General features: G+C 58.3%; 2 protein-coding genes across 7 annotated transcripts in view, besides 5 other annotated features; both read right to left on the bottom strand.

Moving 5' to 3' along the window:
- PRR5-ARHGAP8 (PRR5-ARHGAP8 readthrough) overlaps window positions 1-13,519 on the bottom strand; it is a 160,581-nt gene extending 147,062 nt beyond the window's left edge. The window contains exons 1-2 of the mRNA NM_181334.6: window positions 13,115-13,519; window positions 1,052-1,132 (exon numbers count right to left, since the gene is read on the bottom strand). Coding sequence (NP_851851.3) covers window positions 1,052-1,132; window positions 13,115-13,248 — 215 coding nt within the window. The 5' untranslated portion in view covers window positions 13,249-13,519. The remainder of the gene's footprint in view (window positions 1-1,051; window positions 1,133-13,114) is intronic.
- Window positions 1-19,250, bottom strand: part of PRR5 (proline rich 5) — a 68,931-nt gene that overhangs the window by 21,959 nt on the left and 27,722 nt on the right. For 3 of the 6 annotated variants that reach the window (NM_001017528.3, NM_001198721.2, NM_015366.4), the window contains 2 exons: window positions 13,115-13,231; window positions 1,052-1,132 (listed from right to left, as the gene is read on the bottom strand). In NM_001017528.3, the coding sequence (NP_001017528.1) occupies window positions 1,052-1,132; window positions 13,115-13,221 (188 nt within the window). In that variant the 5' untranslated portion in view covers window positions 13,222-13,231. Of the gene's footprint in view, window positions 1-1,051; window positions 1,133-13,114; window positions 13,520-19,250 lie in introns of those variants that run through there. The other 3 variants (NM_001017529.3, NM_001017530.2, NM_181333.4) reach the window with 2 other exon arrangements.
- Window positions 1,015-1,516: an enhancer, noted in NCBI's record as "H3K4me1 hESC enhancer chr22:45110087-45110588 (GRCh37/hg19 assembly coordinates)". NCBI's record gives its function as "activates a minimal SCP1, AML or CMV promoter by ChIP-STARR-seq in naive H9 embryonic stem cells {active_cell/tissue: H9 hESC(naive)}" and the evidence as "EXISTENCE:reporter gene assay evidence [ECO:0000049][PMID:30033119]".
- Window positions 5,218-6,049: an enhancer, noted in NCBI's record as "H3K4me1 hESC enhancer chr22:45105554-45106385 (GRCh37/hg19 assembly coordinates)". NCBI's record gives its function as "activates a minimal SCP1, AML or CMV promoter by ChIP-STARR-seq in primed H9 embryonic stem cells {active_cell/tissue: H9 hESC(primed)}" and the evidence as "EXISTENCE:reporter gene assay evidence [ECO:0000049][PMID:30033119]".
- Window positions 8,105-8,880: an enhancer, noted in NCBI's record as "H3K27ac-H3K4me1 hESC enhancer chr22:45102723-45103498 (GRCh37/hg19 assembly coordinates)". NCBI's record gives its function as "activates a minimal SCP1, AML or CMV promoter by ChIP-STARR-seq in primed H9 embryonic stem cells {active_cell/tissue: H9 hESC(primed)}" and the evidence as "EXISTENCE:reporter gene assay evidence [ECO:0000049][PMID:30033119]".
- Window positions 13,236-13,645: a silencer, noted in NCBI's record as "silent region_13869". NCBI's record gives its function as "represses an Ori minimal core promoter by ATAC-STARR-seq in GM12878 lymphoblastoid cells {active_cell/tissue: GM12878}" and the evidence as "EXISTENCE:reporter gene assay evidence [ECO:0000049][PMID:35858748]".
- Window positions 15,894-16,434: an enhancer, noted in NCBI's record as "H3K4me1 hESC enhancer chr22:45095169-45095709 (GRCh37/hg19 assembly coordinates)". NCBI's record gives its function as "activates a minimal SCP1, AML or CMV promoter by ChIP-STARR-seq in naive H9 embryonic stem cells {active_cell/tissue: H9 hESC(naive)}" and the evidence as "EXISTENCE:reporter gene assay evidence [ECO:0000049][PMID:30033119]".

The raw sequence follows: 19,250 nt of genomic DNA, 5'->3' as shown, positions 1-19,250 counted from the left end.
TGAGATTGCACCCCCACACTCCAGCCTGGGCAAGAGCAAGACCCCGTCTCAAAAACCAAACCAAACTGCCCCCCACCCCGCCCCCTGGCAGATCCTTTAGGCTCCTGTTTCCTGAAGCAGAGGCTCATCAGGAAAATGAGCTCCCAGAGCCCCACCCAGGGGTGGGCCAGATAAGCCAGAGAAAAGCAGGACACCCTGAACAAGCGGCATGTATTGGGCCTCAGTTTACCCACATGTAAGGGCCCCTTCAGCTTTGCCACACAGGGTGGAGGGGGGCGCCTGCGTATGAAAGTCTGGCCAGTCCACTGACTCTTCTCCTGAATAACAAGGGGAAGGGTTACTGCCTATTTTGCCAGTATTCTTTTGACACAGGGACAAGGTAACAGGGTCAGGGCCAAAGGAAATAGCACAGAGCTGGGAACTGCCTCCTTGGAGCAGCTGTGTGATCTGGGGCGAGTCACTTGACCTCTCTGAGCTTTGGCCTCCTCCACTACAAATGGCAACCCTAGACTCCCTTGAAGCTCCTGCCACCTGGCTTGGGGCAGCAGCTTGTCGGGTGTGTGTCCAGCCTGCTGCTTCGCAATCCTCATTTCCCGGCTATTCACAGGAAACGAGGGGTGTTTGGCAGGGCTGGAATTGCTTTTCCGGGAATAACACTCCCGTCGTTAGGCAGGTGGGTCCTTCCTCTTTAACAGAATAAATATCCTTCACGATGCTCAGCACCAGTGGGGGCCGTCAGCGTCATCTCCAGCGGCTGTCCAAGTCCCACCCTGCTTCCCCTTGAAGAACTTTCTCTGGGGCTGTGGGGGTGCAGGGCCACCAGGCCTGAAGTGGTTTATGGAGGTCATGGCCCACATGGCAGCTCGGGAAACCACGTCCTGGCCCCATGGCCACTGCTAACTTGGGCCTCGCTCTCCTGTTGACAGATGGCCTCTAGGGGAGGAAGCACAGGCGTGGCTGGCGGGTCAGGGGCCTGGCTGGGGCCTTCGACTCTGGGCCTAGCCCTCCCTGCCACTCAAGGACCCTGGACCAAGGTGGGACAGGCACTCACCGGACGCCCTCGTTGAGGCTGAAGAGCTCCTGGTCGGGCAGCCCCTTGCGCTGGAAGACGGCGATCACCCCGTTGTGGATGCTGGGGGCAGAGGGAAGAAAACACTGCAGTCCTGAGGTCTGAGAGCCCCCTGGTTGCCCATCAGGCCCCATTCCTCTTTCCCTCTCTCCTAGAAGGGCAGGATAGCCATCCCTGCAGGACCCTGCTCACACCCACTTCAACTCCGAGGCCCTGCACCCCCAGCCCGGCCCTGCTGGAGCCCAGCCTGTATCACCAGATGCCCTCTGGTCACTGCCGCAGGACCTTGCTCCCGTGTCCTCTGCACACACTATGTGGCCAAACCTCAGCCAGCTTCCTTTCTGGGTTCTTAACCCCACCTTGCCCAGGCCAGAAACCAGGAAACCCCTGCGCCTCTCCCACCCCCCAACACATCCAAGTCCTGTGGACTGTTGCCCCTTCTCTACCTCCACGGCCACCCGGAGTTCAGGATCATCACTGCGTCCCTAGCCAGCTGTGGGGCTCCCGACCCCCTCATGCTTCCTGCCCCTGTTTGTAAAACTCTCTAAGGCTGCCGGGCGCGGTGGCTCACGCCTGTAATCCCAGTGTTTTGGGAGGCCAAGGTGGGTGGACCACAAGGTCAGGAGATCGAGATCATCCTGGCGAACATGGTGAAACCCCGTCTCTACTAAAAATACAAAAAATCAGCAGGGCGCGATGGCGGGCGCCTGTAGTCCCAGCTGCTCGGGAGGCTGAGGCAGGAGAGTGGCGTGAACCCGGGAGGCAGAGCTTGCGATGAGCCGAGATCGCGCCACTGCACTCCAGCCTGGGCGACAGAGCAACAGTCCGTCTCAAAAAAACAAAAGAAAACGAAACAAAACTCTCTGAGGCAGGAGCTGGCAAACGTTTTCTGTGAAGGGATAGAAAGCAAATCTTTTAGGCTTCCTGGGTCACCAGTCTCTGTTACAACTGCTCAACGTGACTGGTGTGATGGGAAGGTAGCTGTGGCAGCCGGGCATGGCGGTTCACGCCTGTAATCCCAGCACTCTGGGAGGCCAAGGCAGGAGGATTGCTTGAGGCTGGGAGGTCAAGACCAGCCAGGGCAACATAGTGAGACCCTGCCTCTACAAAAACCAAAACCAGGCCAGGTGCGCTGGCTCACTCCTGTAATCCCAGCACTTTGGGAGGCCAAGATGGGTGGATCACCTGAGGTCAGGAGTTCAAGACCAGCCTGGCCAACATGGCAAAACCCTGCCTCTACCAAAAATACAAAAATTAGGCCGAGCGGGGTGGCTCACGCCTGTAATCCCAGCACTGTGGGAGGCTGAGGTGGGCGAATCACCTGAGGTCGGGAAGTCTAGCCCATTTCTACCTCCTAGAGCTCTCCCCGTACCCCTTCCTGGCTTGCCTGGACCTCGGATGACAGGAGCTGGCCTCCCACCTCTCCACCACATCCACCCTCTGTGGAGGCTGCAGTTCCTTCCCTGCCCAGGGCTTTGCCCAGCAGGCACAGCCTGAGGTCCTGCAGGCAGCATCCAGGCTCCTCCCGACATGGCCCCTCCCCACACTCCCGGGCATCCTGAGCTCTGACCCCAGAGACTGCAGGACCCTCCGGGTAGCGCCACATCTCTGGGTCTTAGTAGCAACTGCTTCTCCTGTCTGGAAGGCCCTTCTCATCCCTATCCATGAGGCAAGCAGCTATTCATCTTGATTCAGAGGCCATCACCTGCAAGAAGCCCTCTGACCCCCAACCCCTCCCTTCCCAGTGCAGACTCTCCACTAGCACTTTGCTGATTCACTTTCCTGGTCATGAGTGCCCGCTGCTGGCCACGAGGTCCTCAGGGTGAGAACCAGGTCTGGGTACAACAGCCACCGCCCACCCAGGACCTAGCTGCAGCTCCAAGGTTCCTATGGCAGACCAGCACCACACTTCTCACCTTGGAGGGGACAGCTGTCCACACGATGCTGCCCACACCACAAAGCAGGCAGCTGCCACCATGCTCCTAACGTCCTCATCTGCTTTAACTCTACCCTTCCCTGTGACTTGGCCACCCATTTTGCAGATGAGAAAACCAAGGCCCAGGTGGCTAAGTCCTCTGCTGGAGGTCACAGAGCGGCCAGCATCTTGGGCCCCTGTGCACCTGAACTCCCCTGTGCTCCTTCTCCCAGGCAGCGTCCCCACACGGAGCCGGGACTGGCCAGGGCTTCCCGTCTCCCTATCCTCCCTGTCCTCGCTGGCGCAGGGCAGGGTCACAGGCTGCATATCCCACATGCTTCGAGGAGGCTCTGAGCAGCATGGGGGCTGTGCCAGGTTCCACAGCTGGTGCTTGGCCTGGCCCGGCCACAGGCTGAGATCCAGCTCTGCCCAGGGCTTCATCAGCTTCTCAGCGGGCACTGGCCGAGATCACGCCAGATACGTATCCCTGGCCTGGGGTGCCCGACTGCACCGGAATGCTCCTTAGTCCCGTGTCTGGGGACACGGGCTCTCTACCTTCTGTTTCCTGTCTGTAAATCAGGAATCGTGAGAGCGCCACCCCTAGAGAGTTTGAAGGATGAGCCAGCCCAGGGGAGAGGCTGGTGGCTGGTCATCCCCTCATGGCTGGGATGACGCTCCCCTGTGAGAAGCCCTGGGGTGGCCCCAGCCCCACAACTATGTCACAGTAGAGCTGCCCCCTGCCCCCATTTTCAGACTAAAAAAAGTTGAAAATCCCGAGGGAAGTCTGCTAGGAAACCAGCTGTCCCCCAACGGCAACCACCCTACAATCCTGGCAGCTGCAGACACCCTCCCAGCCCTGTGGCAGCTGTTGGGGTGGGTTGGAGGCAGTGGAGATGCCAGGGCTGCCTCCACCCAGCCCTGCATCTGCTGGGAGAGCCTCTGGGATATGGCGAGTGGAGGTACTCCTGGCCACTGTCCCCACACCCTGGATGGAGGTTCAGAGGTGCCTTCCCAAGTTCTCTCCTGGAGCCCAGGCCTCCCTTACAGCGGACGGTGGAGCCACTGCTGGACCCAATTCAGGCAGAGGGGACAGTGCAGCGGTGTAGCCAGGGCCTCCAAGGCTCGCAGTGGGCCCCAGGCTTCAGCCCTGCTGTCCTCAGTGATCTGCCCTGAGCAGCCTGTCCTTCCTTCCTTTTCATTAACTCCCCTGGGGAACTCCAGCCCACTCTGGTCACCCTGCCAGAGGTGACCCTACACCATGGGACCTCTGGATGAGGTTCTCCCTCTGACCTGTGGCCCTCTTGGGTCTGGCGTCACTCACACTGCCCTCCTGACTACCCCCTTGAGGCCCCAGGCTGAAGCTGCCCTGGCTTCTTTCTGCCCCGGGGCCTCCATCCTGCTGTTCCCTCTGCCTGGGGCTCGCCCTTCACCTGCCCTCCCTCGCAGCTGTGTGGGAAAGCTAGCTACTTCTTTTTGGGGGAGGAAGTGTCTACTTGGCTTACGGTTAGACCTCCTGACGCCCCACCTGGCCTCACACTCTGGCCGCACAGAGCAAAGCCCAGCAAGCACCTGCCAGCGAACACCTGCCCGCGAACGCCATGGCACGCCCTTCCCTCCGTGGAGGCCTGAGCCTCTCCTGGGCTCCTCGCCCTGGGTGTTCTCCCACCCACACTCCCCACCCCTGCCTGCTCCCTCTGTGGACTCTGAACTACACTTCTGGGCTGGGTAACTCGGCCGAGTTACCACCTAATCACTCAGTGGTTCAGTGTCCCCATCTGGAAAATGGACTTCTCAGTACAGTGCCGACCGCCCGGGGTGCTGTAAGGTCAGCACGCCCTGCCCTGCCCTGCCCTGCCCTGCGGCCTTTTCTGTGAAGCTACAGGGAGAGGCTTGTATCTACCACACCTTGGCCACACCCAGCCTGGGCCCACCTACTCTGTGGCTTCTCAGTCACCTAACCACCAGCCCCCAGATTACAGAAGACACAGAGGCACACAGCCTGGCACCCGCAGAGGCCCCTCCCCCACACCCAGGACCTCTGCTCCTCTCCACCCCAGCCAAACCCTTGGGAGAAGGTAGGCTAAGGGTGTTTGGTAAACAAGAAAGCCTCGCTGCGGGCCACTCAGGGATACAGGAAGGGCGAGGAGGGTGGGAGGGTCTCATGTGACCTGTCATCTCCCAAAACAGAAACGAAACCCCAGCTGCCCCTCTGGGCCCTGCAAAGACGGGCCCAGTTGGGGCATGTGTAAATGTCATGGCTTCTGGGTGAGGGCTTGAGTGGAAACGGCCCATGACCTCCCTTGTCCAGATGTGGACCGCCTCCTCTAGGAAGCCCCCCCAGCCCCAGCAGGCAGTGCCCTCCCAGGGCAGGGCCTCACATCCCAGGAGGGTAAGTCCTCCTGAGGCCAAGTCCCAGCAGGGGGGCCAGCCCCTCCTGAGCGCTGGGGGGGGGGTGCAGGTGAGGGAGAGAAGGGGAGGATCCTTAGGGAGGCTCCATGCTGCCTGGCAGTGCTGAGATCTGCTGCCACTGGGGCTTGGGCTGAAGAGAAGGGCTGAGGCCCTAGGGGCTGATCCGGGGGCCCTGTCTGTCCAGAACAGGCCATGGGGGAGGACAGTGCCGCACCCATGGCCTCCCTTTGGCTGCTTGCCTACCCGCCTCACATCCCACCTCCACCCTCCACCTCCCCAGCATGAGGCCGGGTTGGGAGGGGCGGCGGGTAGGGGGTCAGGGTGGTGTACCACCACACACGTGAGAAAAGAGCAGCTCAGTGTGTGGGTTTCCGTGGCGGCCATAACAAATTACCCCTAACTCGGTGGCTGAAAACAACTCAAATTTGTTCCCTTACGGTTCTGAGGTCGGAAGTTCTTTTTCTCTGTTTGTTTTTTTGAGATGGAGTCTCGTTCTGTCACCTAGGCTGGAGTGCAGCGGTGCAATCTCAGCTCACTGCAACCTCTGCCTCCTGGGTTCAAGCGATTCTCCTGCCTCAGCCTCCAGAGGAGCTGGGATTACAGGTGCGCGCCACCACTCCTGGATAATTTTTGTATTTTTAGTAGAGATGGGGTTCCACCATGTTGGCCAGGCTGATCTCGAACTCCTGACCTGGTGATCCGCCTGCGCTGGCCTTCCAAAGTGCTGGGATTACAGGTGTGAGCCACTGCGCCTGGCCTGGAAGTTCTAAATCAGTTTCCCTGGACTAAAATCAACGTGTTGGTGGGGCCGTTCCTTCTGGAGGCTCGGGCGGGGGGAGAAATACCTGTCCCCGCCTTTTCCAGCTCCCAGAGGTGCCCACATTCTTTGGCTTGGGGCCCCTTCCTCCATCTTCACAGCCAGCAGCGTGACACCTTCCAAGCTCTCTGTGCCCGTCACTGCATCTCTGTCCCTTTTACCCCCGCCTCTCCCTCACACAGACCCTTGTGATTACAAAGTCCTTTTCAACACATAAAGCCTCAGAGTCACAGGTTCTGGGAACTAGGGCAAGAAATCTGCTCAGGCTGCTTCTGAGAGGCACGGAGCTTGGGACCCAGAGCAAGCAGGCAGGGGTGGTGGGGAGCCACAAGCAGGGGTGGTGGGGAGCCGAACACAGGCCCCCTCACTGGCCCCAGGCCCCCATCCAGCCTGGAGGCTTCAGCCAACATCCTCTGGCCTTCAGAGACCCCCATGAGCACGTGCTCCCGGTGAGACCTGGGTTGAATCCCAGCTTCCGTCCCAAATCACTGCATGAACCTGGGCAGTCCTTGTACCTTCTTTTTTTTTTTTTTTTTTTTTTTTTTTGAGACAGAGTCTCACTCTGTCCCCCAGGCTGGAGTGCAACAGCACGATCTTAGCTCACTACAACCTCTACCTCCCAGGTTCAAGTGATTCTCCTGCCTCAGCCTCCTGAGTAGCTAGGACTACAGGCGCCCACCACCACGCTGGGCTAATTTTTGTATTTTTAGTAGAGACGGGGTTTCACCATGTTGGCCAGGCTGGTCTTGAACTCCTGACCTCAGATGATCCACCTGGATTGGCCTCCCAAAGTGCTGGGATTACAGGCATGAGCTACGGCGTTTGGCCTCCCTGTACCATTCCGAGCCTGTTTGCTCATCTGCAAAATGGGAGTATTGAGCTCACCTTAAAGGTTACTGTGGGGAATGAAAGCTCATCCATAGGGCCCGGTACAGGTCAGGGTGTAGGTGGTACTATTGCTGTGTAATGGGGAGCACGGTGTTGCTGGGGGAGACACGGGTGCAGGGTTGGGGCAGGTGGCTGGAGTGGTCACAGCCTCAGCTGGTTCCTGTCCAGGACCAGGGAGTGCAGACAAGGTCCTTTAGGGCCCTGCCTTTGTGCTCTGACCCTAGCTATGGAAGCCAGCTCTTGCCACCAACACCCACCTAGCCCTGGCCCCAGCTGGGACATGAACCCACATGTGTCACTATGTCCTGGCCCCATGTTAGACCTGGATTCAGACCCCGGACCCTGACATTAGCAGGGGATCTTGATCGAGTGCCTTTCCTCCTCTGGCATTGGTTTCCCTATTTGTTTTTTGTTTGTTGTTTTTTGAGTTGGAGTCTCGCTCTGTCACCTAGGCTGGAGTGCAGTGGCGTGTTCTCGGCTCACTGCAACCTCCGTCTCCCGGATTCAAGTGATTCTCCTGCCTCAACGTCCCAAAGTAGCTGGGATTACAGGCATGAGCCACCACGCCTGGCCAGGTTTCCCCATTTGTAGGCTGAAGACAGTCACCCTAGCCTTGGAGGTGGATTTGTGTGGAGTGAGTGAGAAGCGAATCATCGCCGGCCCTGCACGAGGCTGGCATCTTGGGGCCACGCACTACAACTGCCTGCCTGGGCCTCCACTTCAAGCAGAAGGTGGGCCCGGCTCTCTAAAGCCTCAAGCATTTGGGAGACACAGGCCTGGCAAGGAGGAAGTGTCCCATCATGGTTGAGGCCCTCTGGCCCAAACACATGGAGGGGTCTGTGTTGGTGTGGACTGCAGGGGTGGGGCTTGGGGAGCTCCTCCCACCCCCAGCTGGGGTCTCTGCAGTGGTGAGCCCTGCTGGGGATCCCCAGACAGAGGTGAGGGCAACTGGCGGGGCACTGGCTCAGAGGGCTTGGTACCCCCACGTGCCCTCATGGCATTTTGGGGCCTGCTCTGGGTCTGGGGCATCTTTTGGGAGTTTCTCTAGAGCCTATGGGGCTGGGGGAGGCAGAAGGGGATGGCAAGATGCATCCCTGCCAGGAGGCAGAGGCTGGGGCCAGGCCTAGGGCACAAGCACAGAGCCCGCCAAGGGCATGCCGGCAGCTGGGGCCTAGTCAGGGGTCACCGGGCCGCCTGACCCTGCCGGAGCCTCCAAGCAGGGCACCCTCATGCCCTGGGTCCTGAGGCTGGCGTGCAGGCCCTCCTCCACACAGGCCCTCCCTGGGGCCACTTCAGCTCTGCCTGCAGGGCACGCCCCAGTGGCCGGCCACTCCTGTCCCACCTCCTCCTCCTCCAGTGGGAAGATGTGAAAGTACACCTTGGCCCCGCAGCCCAAGAGCACGGCCTTCATAGCTGGAAGCCCCATAGGGGCACAGGGGCCAGACCCAGGGAGGAGTGAACTGGAGCTGCCTGGGAGCTAGCAGGGAACAGGGACAGGGGCCCTTGAGGAGGGAGGAAGGAAGGAAGGGGATAAGGATGGGGGTGCCAGGGGTATGGCAGGTCAGACTTCGTGTCTTTATCTGTCACCCCACCAGCCTGGGAGAGCCCGATGGGGACACATCTCTGCCACCTTGGCACTGGGAGGCAGATCTGTCACAGGCTAGGGGCAAAACCTGACCAATAAATAAGGAGTGGGCACTCAGGAAACAAGCTCTGCAGTCCTGGTTTATGTTCTGTAAGGGGGGCCCGGCCGGCAGGCCAGCCGGGCATCCATAGCTCCCTTACAAACATTCCCTGGCCCAAGTGCAGTGGCTCATGCCTGTAATCCCAGCACTCTGGGAGACTGAGGCAGGTGGATTGCTTGAGGTCAGAAGTTCGAGATCAGCCTGGGCAACATGGCGAAACCCTATCTCCACCAAAAATACAAAAAAAAAAATTAGCCGGTGTGATGGCACACACCTGTAGCTACTTGGGAGACTGAGGTGGGAGGATCGCTGGAGCCTGGGAAGTCAAGGCTGCCTGAGCCATGATTGTGCCACTGTACTCCAGCCCGGGTGACAGAGCAAGACCCTCTCTCAAAAGAGAAAAACCAAACATTTCCTGCACACCTACAGAATCAACATCCATGGAGGAAAGAATGGAAGGCAGACCCCAGCGAAATGCTCAGCACTCCAGGGCCCCTGGTTTGCTTTCCTCCCAGCACTAAGCCCACCTGCATTTACTTACCTCCTTGTTTATTTACCAATGCCTCCCTCTGGGAACTCTAAGCTCCAGGAGGCTGTTCTCTGCTGAATCTATGCCCTGAGCAGCCCAGTGCTGGCACAGTCAATGAATGAATGAATAAACGAATGAATGAATGAATCAATCAATCAATCAATGACTCAGTTCTCATGACAGAGCAAGCCTTACACTTGATGGAAATAGGGTCTTTGCAGCGGTATTTAATTAAGGACCTGGAGATGATCCTTAACTAAGGATGGGCCCTAAATCCAATAACTAGTGTTTTTACAAGAGAAAGGGGAGGGAGCCTGGTGTGGTGGCTCATGCCTGTAATCCCAGCACTTCCGGAGGCTGAGGCAGGCGGATCACCAGAGGTCAGGAGTTTGAGAGTAGCCTGGCCAACACGGTGAAACCCTGTCTCTACTAAAAATACAAAAATTAGCTGGGCATGGTGGCATGGTAGTGGGCGCCTACAATCCCAGCTACTTGGGAGGCTGAAGCAGGAGAATTGCTTGAACCTGTGGGGGCGGAGAATGCAATGAGCTGAGATTGCACCACTGCACTCCAGCCTGGGTGACAGAGTGAGACTCCACCTCAAAAACAAAAACAAAAATTAGCTGGGCATGGTGGTGCACGCCTGTAATCCCAGCTATTAGGGAGGCTGCGACAGGAGAATCACTTGAACCCGGGAGGTGGAGGTTGCAGTGAGCTGAGATTGCACCAGTGCACTCCAGCCTGGGTGACAGAGCAAGATTCCGTCTCAAAAGAAAACAAAAAAGAGGCTGGGCACGGTGGCTCACACCTGTAATCCCAGCACTTTGGGAGGCCGAGGTGGGCAGATCACCTGAGGTCAGGAGTTAGAGACTAGCCTGACCAACATGGCAAAACCCCGTCTCTACTAAAAGTACAAAAAATTAGCCGGGCGTGGTGGTGGGCGCCTGTAATCCCAGCTACTCCAGAGGCTGAGGAAGGAGAATTGCTTGAACCCAGGAGGCAGAAGCTGCAGTGAGCTGAGATCACACCATTGCACTCCAGCCTGGACAAGAGTGAAACTCCGTCTCAAGAAAGGAAAAAAAATAGAGAGAGAGAAAGGAGAGGGAGATTTGGACGTGGAAATGAAAGCCATGGGGAGGTACATATTGGAGTGATGCAGCCACAAGCCAAAGAGCCACCAGAAGCTTCAAGAAGCTCCTCCCCTAGAGCCTCTGGTGGGAGCGACACCTGGACTTCAAGCTTCTGGCTCCAGAACTGTGAGGGAACAAATTTCTGCTGTTTTAGGCCACCGAGTTTGTGGTCTTTGTTACAGCAGCTCTGGGAAGCTAATACAGTCACACAGATAAAAGGGGGTGTGTCTTGGACTCATAATGAGGAGTACACGGCCAGGCCCTGCAGAATGACACGCCTGTCCCCGACCCTGCACAGATCTGTTGTCCTAGGGGGCCCTGGCAGGGAGCACCGCTAGGAGCAGGAGCATGCAGACAGGGACCAGAAGGGGTGCCCTGCTCCCTGCAGTTTCCACTCAGGGACTTGGCTGGTGAAGCCAGTTTGCCTTCTCTTGGCTCCATCTCCCACATCTGCTGGGGAGGAGAGCTGGGGCGCAGGCTCTGCTGCATCCTGTGCAGGTGATGGATGAGCTGGGCATGTCTCCTGGGTGCTCTCTCTGCCCTTCTGCATCTCTCGGTGGGGGGTGCTGGTAATACCTCGCTGGGCTAGGAGAGTGGCAAAGTCAGTTAAGGGCAGTGAACGGGGCTGGCCTGGGGCCTGGCACATAAGAGGAGTGCAGGAAATGGCCGTGCCCCTGCTGCCTGGGGTGGTGGGAGCTGATGTAGGCCTAAGGGCTGGGAGACCTGGAGCCCTGCAGGTGCCGCGGGGAGGGGCTGGCATTTCTCTGCAATCTGCCAGGCTGCTGAGTGAAATCTGGTGGGGCGGGGGTTGCTCAGGCAGAGTCCCCCTGAGGCCTCCCTGAACTCTGAGAAGACACTTGAGACTCAGAGCCCACTCCAGGGTCACCCAAGGTTGGGTGAGGGCAGTGTCTAAGCCAGCAACCAGCCAGTGCCCCCACCTGTCTGGGGACCCGCAGCAGGACGCCCCACCTCGGGGGTGGGAGGGAGCTCACCAAGTGGCTGTCAGTGGGTGCTCAGGAACTGACTGATTCCTGTGGAGCCCTCCAAATGCCATCCCTACAGGGACACCCCGACACTGGTCCACTGCGTGAGTCTGGGGTTGAGCTGTGAGGTACAGAGGACTTACTATGTGCTAAGCACTGTGTTGAGGGCTTTATTTTGCATGTTCAAATTTCATCCCTACAACAGCCCCATGAGGTGGGCACTGTTATCTGCCCGTTTTATGGATAAGGAAATTGAGGACCTGACTTGCTCAAGACCACAGAGTAGGGAAGAGGCAGAGTTGGGATTTGAAATAAGTCTATTTAACTCTTTCCTCTAAATCACGGCAGAGATTCAAGGACAGAGAGATGGCTTTCATCTCAATACTGGAGGAGAACACTGCTCTTCTTTTTTTTTGAGATAGGGTCTTGCTCTGTCACCGAGGCTGGAGTGCAGTGGTGGCATCATGGCTCATGGCAGCCTCGACTTCCCTGGCTCAAGTAATCCTCCCATCTTGGCCTCCCAAAGTGCTAGGATTACAGGTGTGAGCCGCCGTGCCTGGTGGAGAACACAGCTCTTAAGACACTGTGCAGTCGTTGGGTCAGGGAGATTTCCCAACAGGAGTCCTTCCTTCACTGTTCCCACACCAGCCCTCCCCACAGGGAGGAATGCGAATACCCACTGACGGAGAGGGAAACGGAGGCAGGCATGTGACAGCCCTCTAGCAGTTTGCAACTCAGAGACAGAAGAGACCACGTTTGAAGAGGGTCTCGCTGGCAGCCCTGAGCCCACCATGACGCTCACAATGCATTCAATGAACTGAAAATAACGTGTGTCCAAGTGACAGCCGGGTTCCCGGTGGCCAAGACCACAGCCGGTGGAGCATCTGGCAAGATTTTACTGCCAGGTGTGGGCGCGAGAGGGGCAACGTCCACAGCCTCCCCCGAACAGTGTCCACAGCCTCCCCCGAACAGTGTCCACTGCCTCCCGCGAACAGCCTGCCTCACTTTCTCCTGCCTCTCATTTTCCTAGGGAGCAGAGACGCTGGGGAGTTCCACTAAATAAACCGTCTCTTTTCCAGATCCCGGACTTGCTCCTCAAACAAAGCTGGGAGAAGGGGCTTCCCAGGCCCCTGCTTGTCTGGGAATGACCCCTGGAGGAGAGTCCTCTAAAGAATGCCTCGCAGCTGCCGCACCCCCTGCTGACAGCTGGAGGACAGGGGGCCTCTCAAGGGAAAGCCGAAGGGAGCTTAAAGAGACACAGGAAGCCTGCGCGACCCACCCACTGAGCCCCGAGGCTCCCGTGCTCAGCCGCAAAATGGGAAAAATACTTCCTGCTCCGTTAGCCTCCCAGGTTGTCACGAGCACCGCAGTGGAGACGTGGAAAGACCCCGGGTAGGAGGCGGGCACGCGGCTTCCCGGCCCACCCCGCCGCCCACCCGCCGGGCGCTTCTGGGCCAGCCCCGGGCGCTGGCGGGCCTCGCTCCCTTCCCTGGGTTCTGGAACCACGCTGCACTGAACTTTCCTCCAGGCCCGCACCACTCCGGCGGGGCAAGTTCTTTGCAAACTGTGAAGCGCCGCGCCGCCTTCGGCAGCGTTCCTGGCTCGGGGCGGCCCCTAGCCCGCGGACGGCTCAGGGGTCCCCTCCCCCGGCTCCAGGGCCTCCGGGTGGCCGGGAGGGCGCGGCCTTACCTGTTCCAGGTGGCGTTGGCGCAGGCCCGGCGCTGCTGCGTGCCCCGCTCGTCCGCGGCGGCGGCCGGCTCTCTCTTGCCCAGGTCACTGAGGCTGGGCGAACTCATGAACTTCAACCTGCGGAGAGTCCTCATGGTGACCCGGGCCGCCTGCGCCGCGCCCACGCGCGCCCCACGCCGCGCCCTGCGCCACGCCGCACCAAGGGCCCCGGGCCGGCGATGCGCCCTCTACGCGGAAACTCCGGCGAGAGCAGGAAGCCGAGCGGTCCTGCGGGGTCCCGCCCCGGCCCCGCGCCTCCGTCTCGGGTCCCGCGCCGGCCGCCCCGCCGGGTTAATCATTGCACGGAGAGGCTCAGCGTGGAGCGCCAGGCGCGCGGCCAGCACAGACCCGGCGCAAACGGAGGCCGGGGGCGGACCCGGGGGCGGGCCCAGGGGCGGGTCTCGGCGCCCCGGGGGGCGGGGCGGGGAAGGGGGCGGGGGCATCGCGGGCGGGGCGGGGCCTCAGGCGAGGGGGCGTGTGCAAGAGGCGGAGCCGGCGTCTCCGCGGCCGCAGCTGCCACGACGCCTCGCTGGGTCTGCCCTCTGAGGACGTGCTCACCCTCCTCCCCTCTTCCGAGGGCCCCACGTGCCCACAGGAAACCAACACGCACAGGACGCAGGGCCCAAGCCCAAGCGCCCGCCCCCCGCCCAGCACTGCGGTCGCGCCCACACGATGTCCTTCGACCCCGGCCCCGGAGGTCTCCCTCCACAGCCCTCCTCGCAAAGGCTGTGCCACAGAGGTGCCTCCGTACCCCTCACCTGAACACAGGCTCCCCCACCCAGTTCTCATGAGGACTTTGGGTAGAGGCCTTCAGTCCCCTCCAGGCACCTTGGCCCAAGAACCCACTCCACCCGGGCTCAGCCTAGACCCCCTTGGACAGGGACTTCAGCATTGCCTGGCTGCCTGGAGGATTTGCTGGAGTGAGGGCTTGAAGAAGTAGAGGGTTTGCTCCTTATCTCCCACCCCCAGGTCTCTTGGATGGTAAAACCAAGCAGTTTCCCAAGTCCCTGTGGTGGGGGCAGAGTGATCCCAGTGAAGGCAGGGCACAGCCGGTGCTTCCTGCCTGCTTCGCAGAGCACTTTTAGATGTCTGATTTCACATGAACTAACATGAACTACTTCCGTGAGGTAGAGATTATTCTTCTCCCCATTTTCCAGTTGAGGACATTGAGGCTCACAGAGTGAAATAACTTGCCCAACATTGTGCCAACATTGTGCAATCAACAAATGGTAGAGTTGGGCTTCACCACAGGGAGCGTCCAGCCCCTTGAACAGGGCCCTTCCCAGTCCCCAGCTTCTGGGATTCCCACAAGGCTCACCTGACCCCTCCATCAGATGGGGGGTGACAGCCACAGCTCCAGGAGCTGGGAGGGCCCCATATAAAATGTAAGAGAGAGGTGATGGCTCATGCCTGTAATCCCAGCACTTTGGGAGGCCGAGGTGGGAGGATCACCTGAGGTCAGGAGTTCAAGACCAGCCCGGCCAACATGGAGAAACCCCATCTCTATTAAAAATACAAAATTAGCTGGGCGTGGTGGTGCATGCCCGTAATCCCAGCTACTCAGGAGGCTGAGACAGGAGAATCGCTTGAACCTGGGAGGCAGAGGTTGCAGAGAGCTGAGATCTCGCCACTGCACTCCAGCCTGGGCAACAACAGCAAAACTCCGTCTCAAAAATCATCATCATCATAATAAAATAAAATAAAAAGTAAGAGAGCCTCATGAAGAGTCTTTGTTTAGTGCAAATCAACCAGTGTCTCCTGAGTACCTCCTGTGTTCCAGACATAAATACCATCGTCTTTGGGAGACAGAGACATAAACAGACAAACTTGCTCATCAGTAAAGCGGGATGGAACGGTTCATCTCACAGGCAGCTTGGGGCCCACAGGCAGCAACAGGTGCTTTATAAACTAACTGTCAAGTGCTGTACACGTTTTCTTTTCTTTTTGAGACAGAGTCTCACTTTTTGGCCCAGGTTGAATGCAGTGGCACCACTGTGGTCACTGCAGCCTCTACCTCCTGGGTTCAAGCAACCCTCCCACGTTAGCCTCCTGAATAGCTGGGACTACAAGGCATGTGCCACCATGCCTGGCTGATTTTTTGCGTGTGTGATGGCGTTTCGCTCTTGTCGCCTGTGGAGTGCAATGGCGCAATCATGGCTCACTGCTAACCTCTGCCTCCCAGGTTCAAGTGATTCTCCTGCCTCAATCTAGTGAGTAGCTGAGATTATAGGCACCTACCACCACGCCTGGCTGATTTTTTTATTTATTAGTAGAGATGGGGTTTCACCATGTTGGCCAGGCTGGTCTTAAACTCCTGACCTCAGGTGATCCTCCCACCTCGGCCTCCTAAAGTGCTGGGATTACAAGAATGAACCACTGTGCCCGGCTCCCTGGCTAATTTTTAAAAAATTTTGTAATAGAGACAAGGTCTTGCTATGTTGCCCAGGCTGGTCTCAAACTTCTGGACTCAAGGAGTCCTCCCACTTTTGGCCACCCATAGTGTTAGGATTACAGGCATGAACTACTGTGCCTAGCCCACGCTCTCAAACTTACGGGAACACTGTATCTTTTAGATCCCAAACCAAATTTCATGGCCAGACAAGGATTTCCTACCTTACTGCTGTAAAAAAAAAAACAAAAACAACAACAAAAAACATATAAAAATACTAAAGCATGTACTGAATTGTCTCTGAAAAGAATGAAAACAGAGGATAAAGCCCAGATCCTTGACTCCTCGGAGGGGCCTTTGAGACCTGCTTGCCCTCCAGCTGCGGGTCCCTCCCCTGCCCTAGAACGTCTTTCAGAGAAGTTAGTTGCCCCTGTCTCTGACCGCCTTCACTCTCAATTAGGCTCAGGGGGCGTCCTGTTGTCACCCGATGACTTTTTTTCCATCCTATGCCATAAGCCAGGAGGGCAAGAACCGTAACAACTTGTTCACTGCTACAGTCCCCGTGCCTAGCACAGACTGGGTGCTTCATAGATATTTGGTTTAACGGATGGATGAACATTTATCTCATAAGAATAAAGGGATTACATTGGACCCCACTGGTGAAAATGCCTCATAAAAGTGCCCAGGCTGGACAGATGTGAGCGAGAATCTCCGTCATGGCCACTGGTGTAAACGCAGCAAAGCAGAACCGCCAGGGATCCGGATGGGATGAAATGGTTTCCCACGCCGGAGGCTGGCTCTCAGGAGAGGACTGGCTTTGTGGGCTCAGCACAGCCTGGTCCCAAGCTTGCTGACCACAGGCAGGGCCTGGCTGGCAGGAGGGGCCAGCTCCAGAGAGGGAGGGAGGCCTGACTGCTTGGGATAAGAAATCAGAGAGAAATGGGCAGCCCGAGGTGGGAGGCAGGAGGAGGGAAACAGGGGGCTGGGAATGCTGTAGGCATCTGGGAGAAGCGGCCAGCCAGAAATTCCGGAGGTGGGGATGGCTGAGGAATTTTAAAGAGATCTTTAAAAAAGGCATCTCTAGTCAGCGTTAAGGAATTAGCTATAACCTCTCCCTGGCCCCAGCCACAGATGTGTAAAATCTGTCTACACCCAACAGCCCAGCGCCAGGAGGGCAGTGGAGGCTCAAGCAAAGGTGCTAGTGCTCTGGGTTTGGGCCGTGACAGGCAGAGAGGGCACAGCTGCGGGGCTGCCCCGGGGCCAGAAACCCCAGGCAGAGGCCACAAGGGGACAGAGCTGTCACAAACCCTCAGAGCAGGGGGCAACTGGGGGACAAAGGGCGGAGTCTAGCCCCTAAGTGTGCTCTGTGTGGCCTGCAGCGTCGGAGGAAAATAAACCAAACTGCGTGCGGCCAACATCTTACAACATTTTACAACGGAGAGATTGACACAGAAACCCGGATTCTGGCCGCCCTGAAGCATCAGGTGACAGTCTTGCTGGGCCTGAGCCCCACGTGACAGCTCCCACCCGGCTACTGCCCCTGCCAGCAGGCACAAGGCCTCCAGGTGCCCACCGGGCCCTCCTCTCACTTATGGGGCTTTCTGGGTCTGAGGAGGGGGCTGGGGGACCCAGCAATTGTATTGTGGCGGGGTACCCTGGGCAGGGCTCATTTGTGTCTGAGACCAGGGAAGGGAAATGTCCCTCTGTTAAGGAAATGAGAGACAAAGGGACTCAGTCACACATCCCCAAAGCCACCAGAGTGGCCCCCACTCCAGACTCATTCACACATCCCCAAAGCCACCAGAGCCACCTCTGCTCCAGACTCATTCACACAACCCCAAAGCCACCAGAGCCACCCCTGCTCCAGACTCATTCACACATCCCCAAAGCCACCAGAGTGGCCCCTGCTCCAGGAAGGTGCCAGGCCCGATGGCATCAACCACGTCCTCTCCTCCCCAGGACCCAAACTCATTCCAAACTCCCCCTGGCCAGTGGGGTGTCGGCAGCTGGTAGAGGATCCCCTTGGTCACCAAGGGGGACCCTGATATCCTCAGAACTACCCTTCTGAAGGGCCTGCAATCCCTAAGCCTGGCTCAGCCCCGGCTGGACACCCAGGGGACAGGAACAGACCAGTAAGTCAGGGCAGCTCATGAACCCGGGACTCTGAGTTCTAGTCCATCAGCACTGCAAGTGACATCATGATCTCTGGGACACAGGCCAGCCAAAGGGAGGAGACAGCATACCCCTGAAGGGGCCAGTTTGGGGCCCAGGGAGGGGTACTATAGGCATGATACAGGGGCGGCCACTAAACACACTGCCCCGACTCGTCCCCACAAGGCTGCCAAGTGGGAGACCAGTCCCATTTTACAGACAGACAAACAGAGGCCCAGGGAGGCCGAGGCGTATGTCCGAGGTCAGAGTCAGCAAGTGGGGGAGCTGAGGCTGGAGCCCTGCGGGCTGGGCGGGAGAGAGAGACAGCCTCCATCTCGCCCACTCTCCCCGGGGCACGGCCCTCAGGTGGTGACCTCAGTTGCCCACGCCCTGCCTGCTTTCCTAGGCACTGCCTGCTCTGGAGGGGCACGTCCGCCCCCTGGTGGCGAAGCCTGGTGTTCCCTCAAAGCCGACCCAAAAGTGCCTTCTGCCCCCTGAGGAGCAGCCTGGTCAGTCCCGGACACCCTGGAAGAGGCCTGGCAACGTGCTGGGCACGGAAAGCCATGGGGAGTGCCTGGCTCTGTCCCCACAGTCTCTGCCATCCGGGCCGTCCCATCCCTTCCCTGAGATGGGCGAGAAGGGTGACACCACTGCCCTGTGAGGGCACAGAAAAAATCCACACACAGTCACAGGGGCACGCCAAGGGCTTGGTGACCGCCGCCAGGGTGGTCGCACGGCAGAAGGAGGTTCCTGAGTCAGGGCCACCACGCTGGGGGAGCCCAGGGTACTCGCGGTGACTCCGGCACCAAGCACCAGGCCACCGGACCTGGTGGCCTTGGAGCCAGGATCAACTGTTATTATTCCCATTTCACGACTGGGGAAACTGAGGCTGTGTGGGGAACACAGCAAGGAACAAGAAAGACATGGTCCCTGCTACCAGAAGGTGAGCCCATCGTCCCTTCCTAGCTCTGCCATCTGATATGTTCATGTCCTGGCCGGGTGTGGTGGCTCACGCCTGTGATCCCAGTACTTTAGGAGGCTGAGGCCAGTGGATCACCTGAGGTCAGGAGTTGGAGACTACCCTGGCTAACATGGTGAAACCCTGTCTCTACTAAAAATACAAAAATTAGCCGGATATGGTGGTGCACACCTGTAGTCCCAGCTACTAGGGAGGCTGAGGCAGGAGAATCGCTCGAACCCTGGAAGCGGAGTTTACAGTGAGCCAAGATCGTGCCACTGCACTCTAGCCTGGGCGACAGAGCAGGACTGCATCTCAAATAAATAAATAAATAAATAAATAAATAAATACGTAAGTTCATGTCTTCCTTGGTCCCACAGCAGCCTTGAGGTTTGAAGGTGGACCGCTTCCTTTAAGTCTTCTCTTGACCAGCTGAGCTACCAGGACTCCATCTGAGCCCTTCTCCACCCTGGTGGTCTGGTTCTGTGCACCCAAGACACGTGCCCTCCTTTTGTTCTGGATTTCAGTTCTAGGGGCCGGGGAGGGGGCTCTGGCCAGCAGGTCCCTGGTCTTAATACACCAGACGTCACACATGCACC

The sequence above is a fragment of the Homo sapiens genome, chromosome 22 (assembly GCF_000001405.40).
Source record: "Homo sapiens chromosome 22, GRCh38.p14 Primary Assembly".
NCBI lineage: Eukaryota > Metazoa > Chordata > Mammalia > Primates > Hominidae > Homo > Homo sapiens.
Note: the sequence above shows the minus strand (reverse complement) of the source record. Positions and strands in the feature narration are given on the sequence as shown.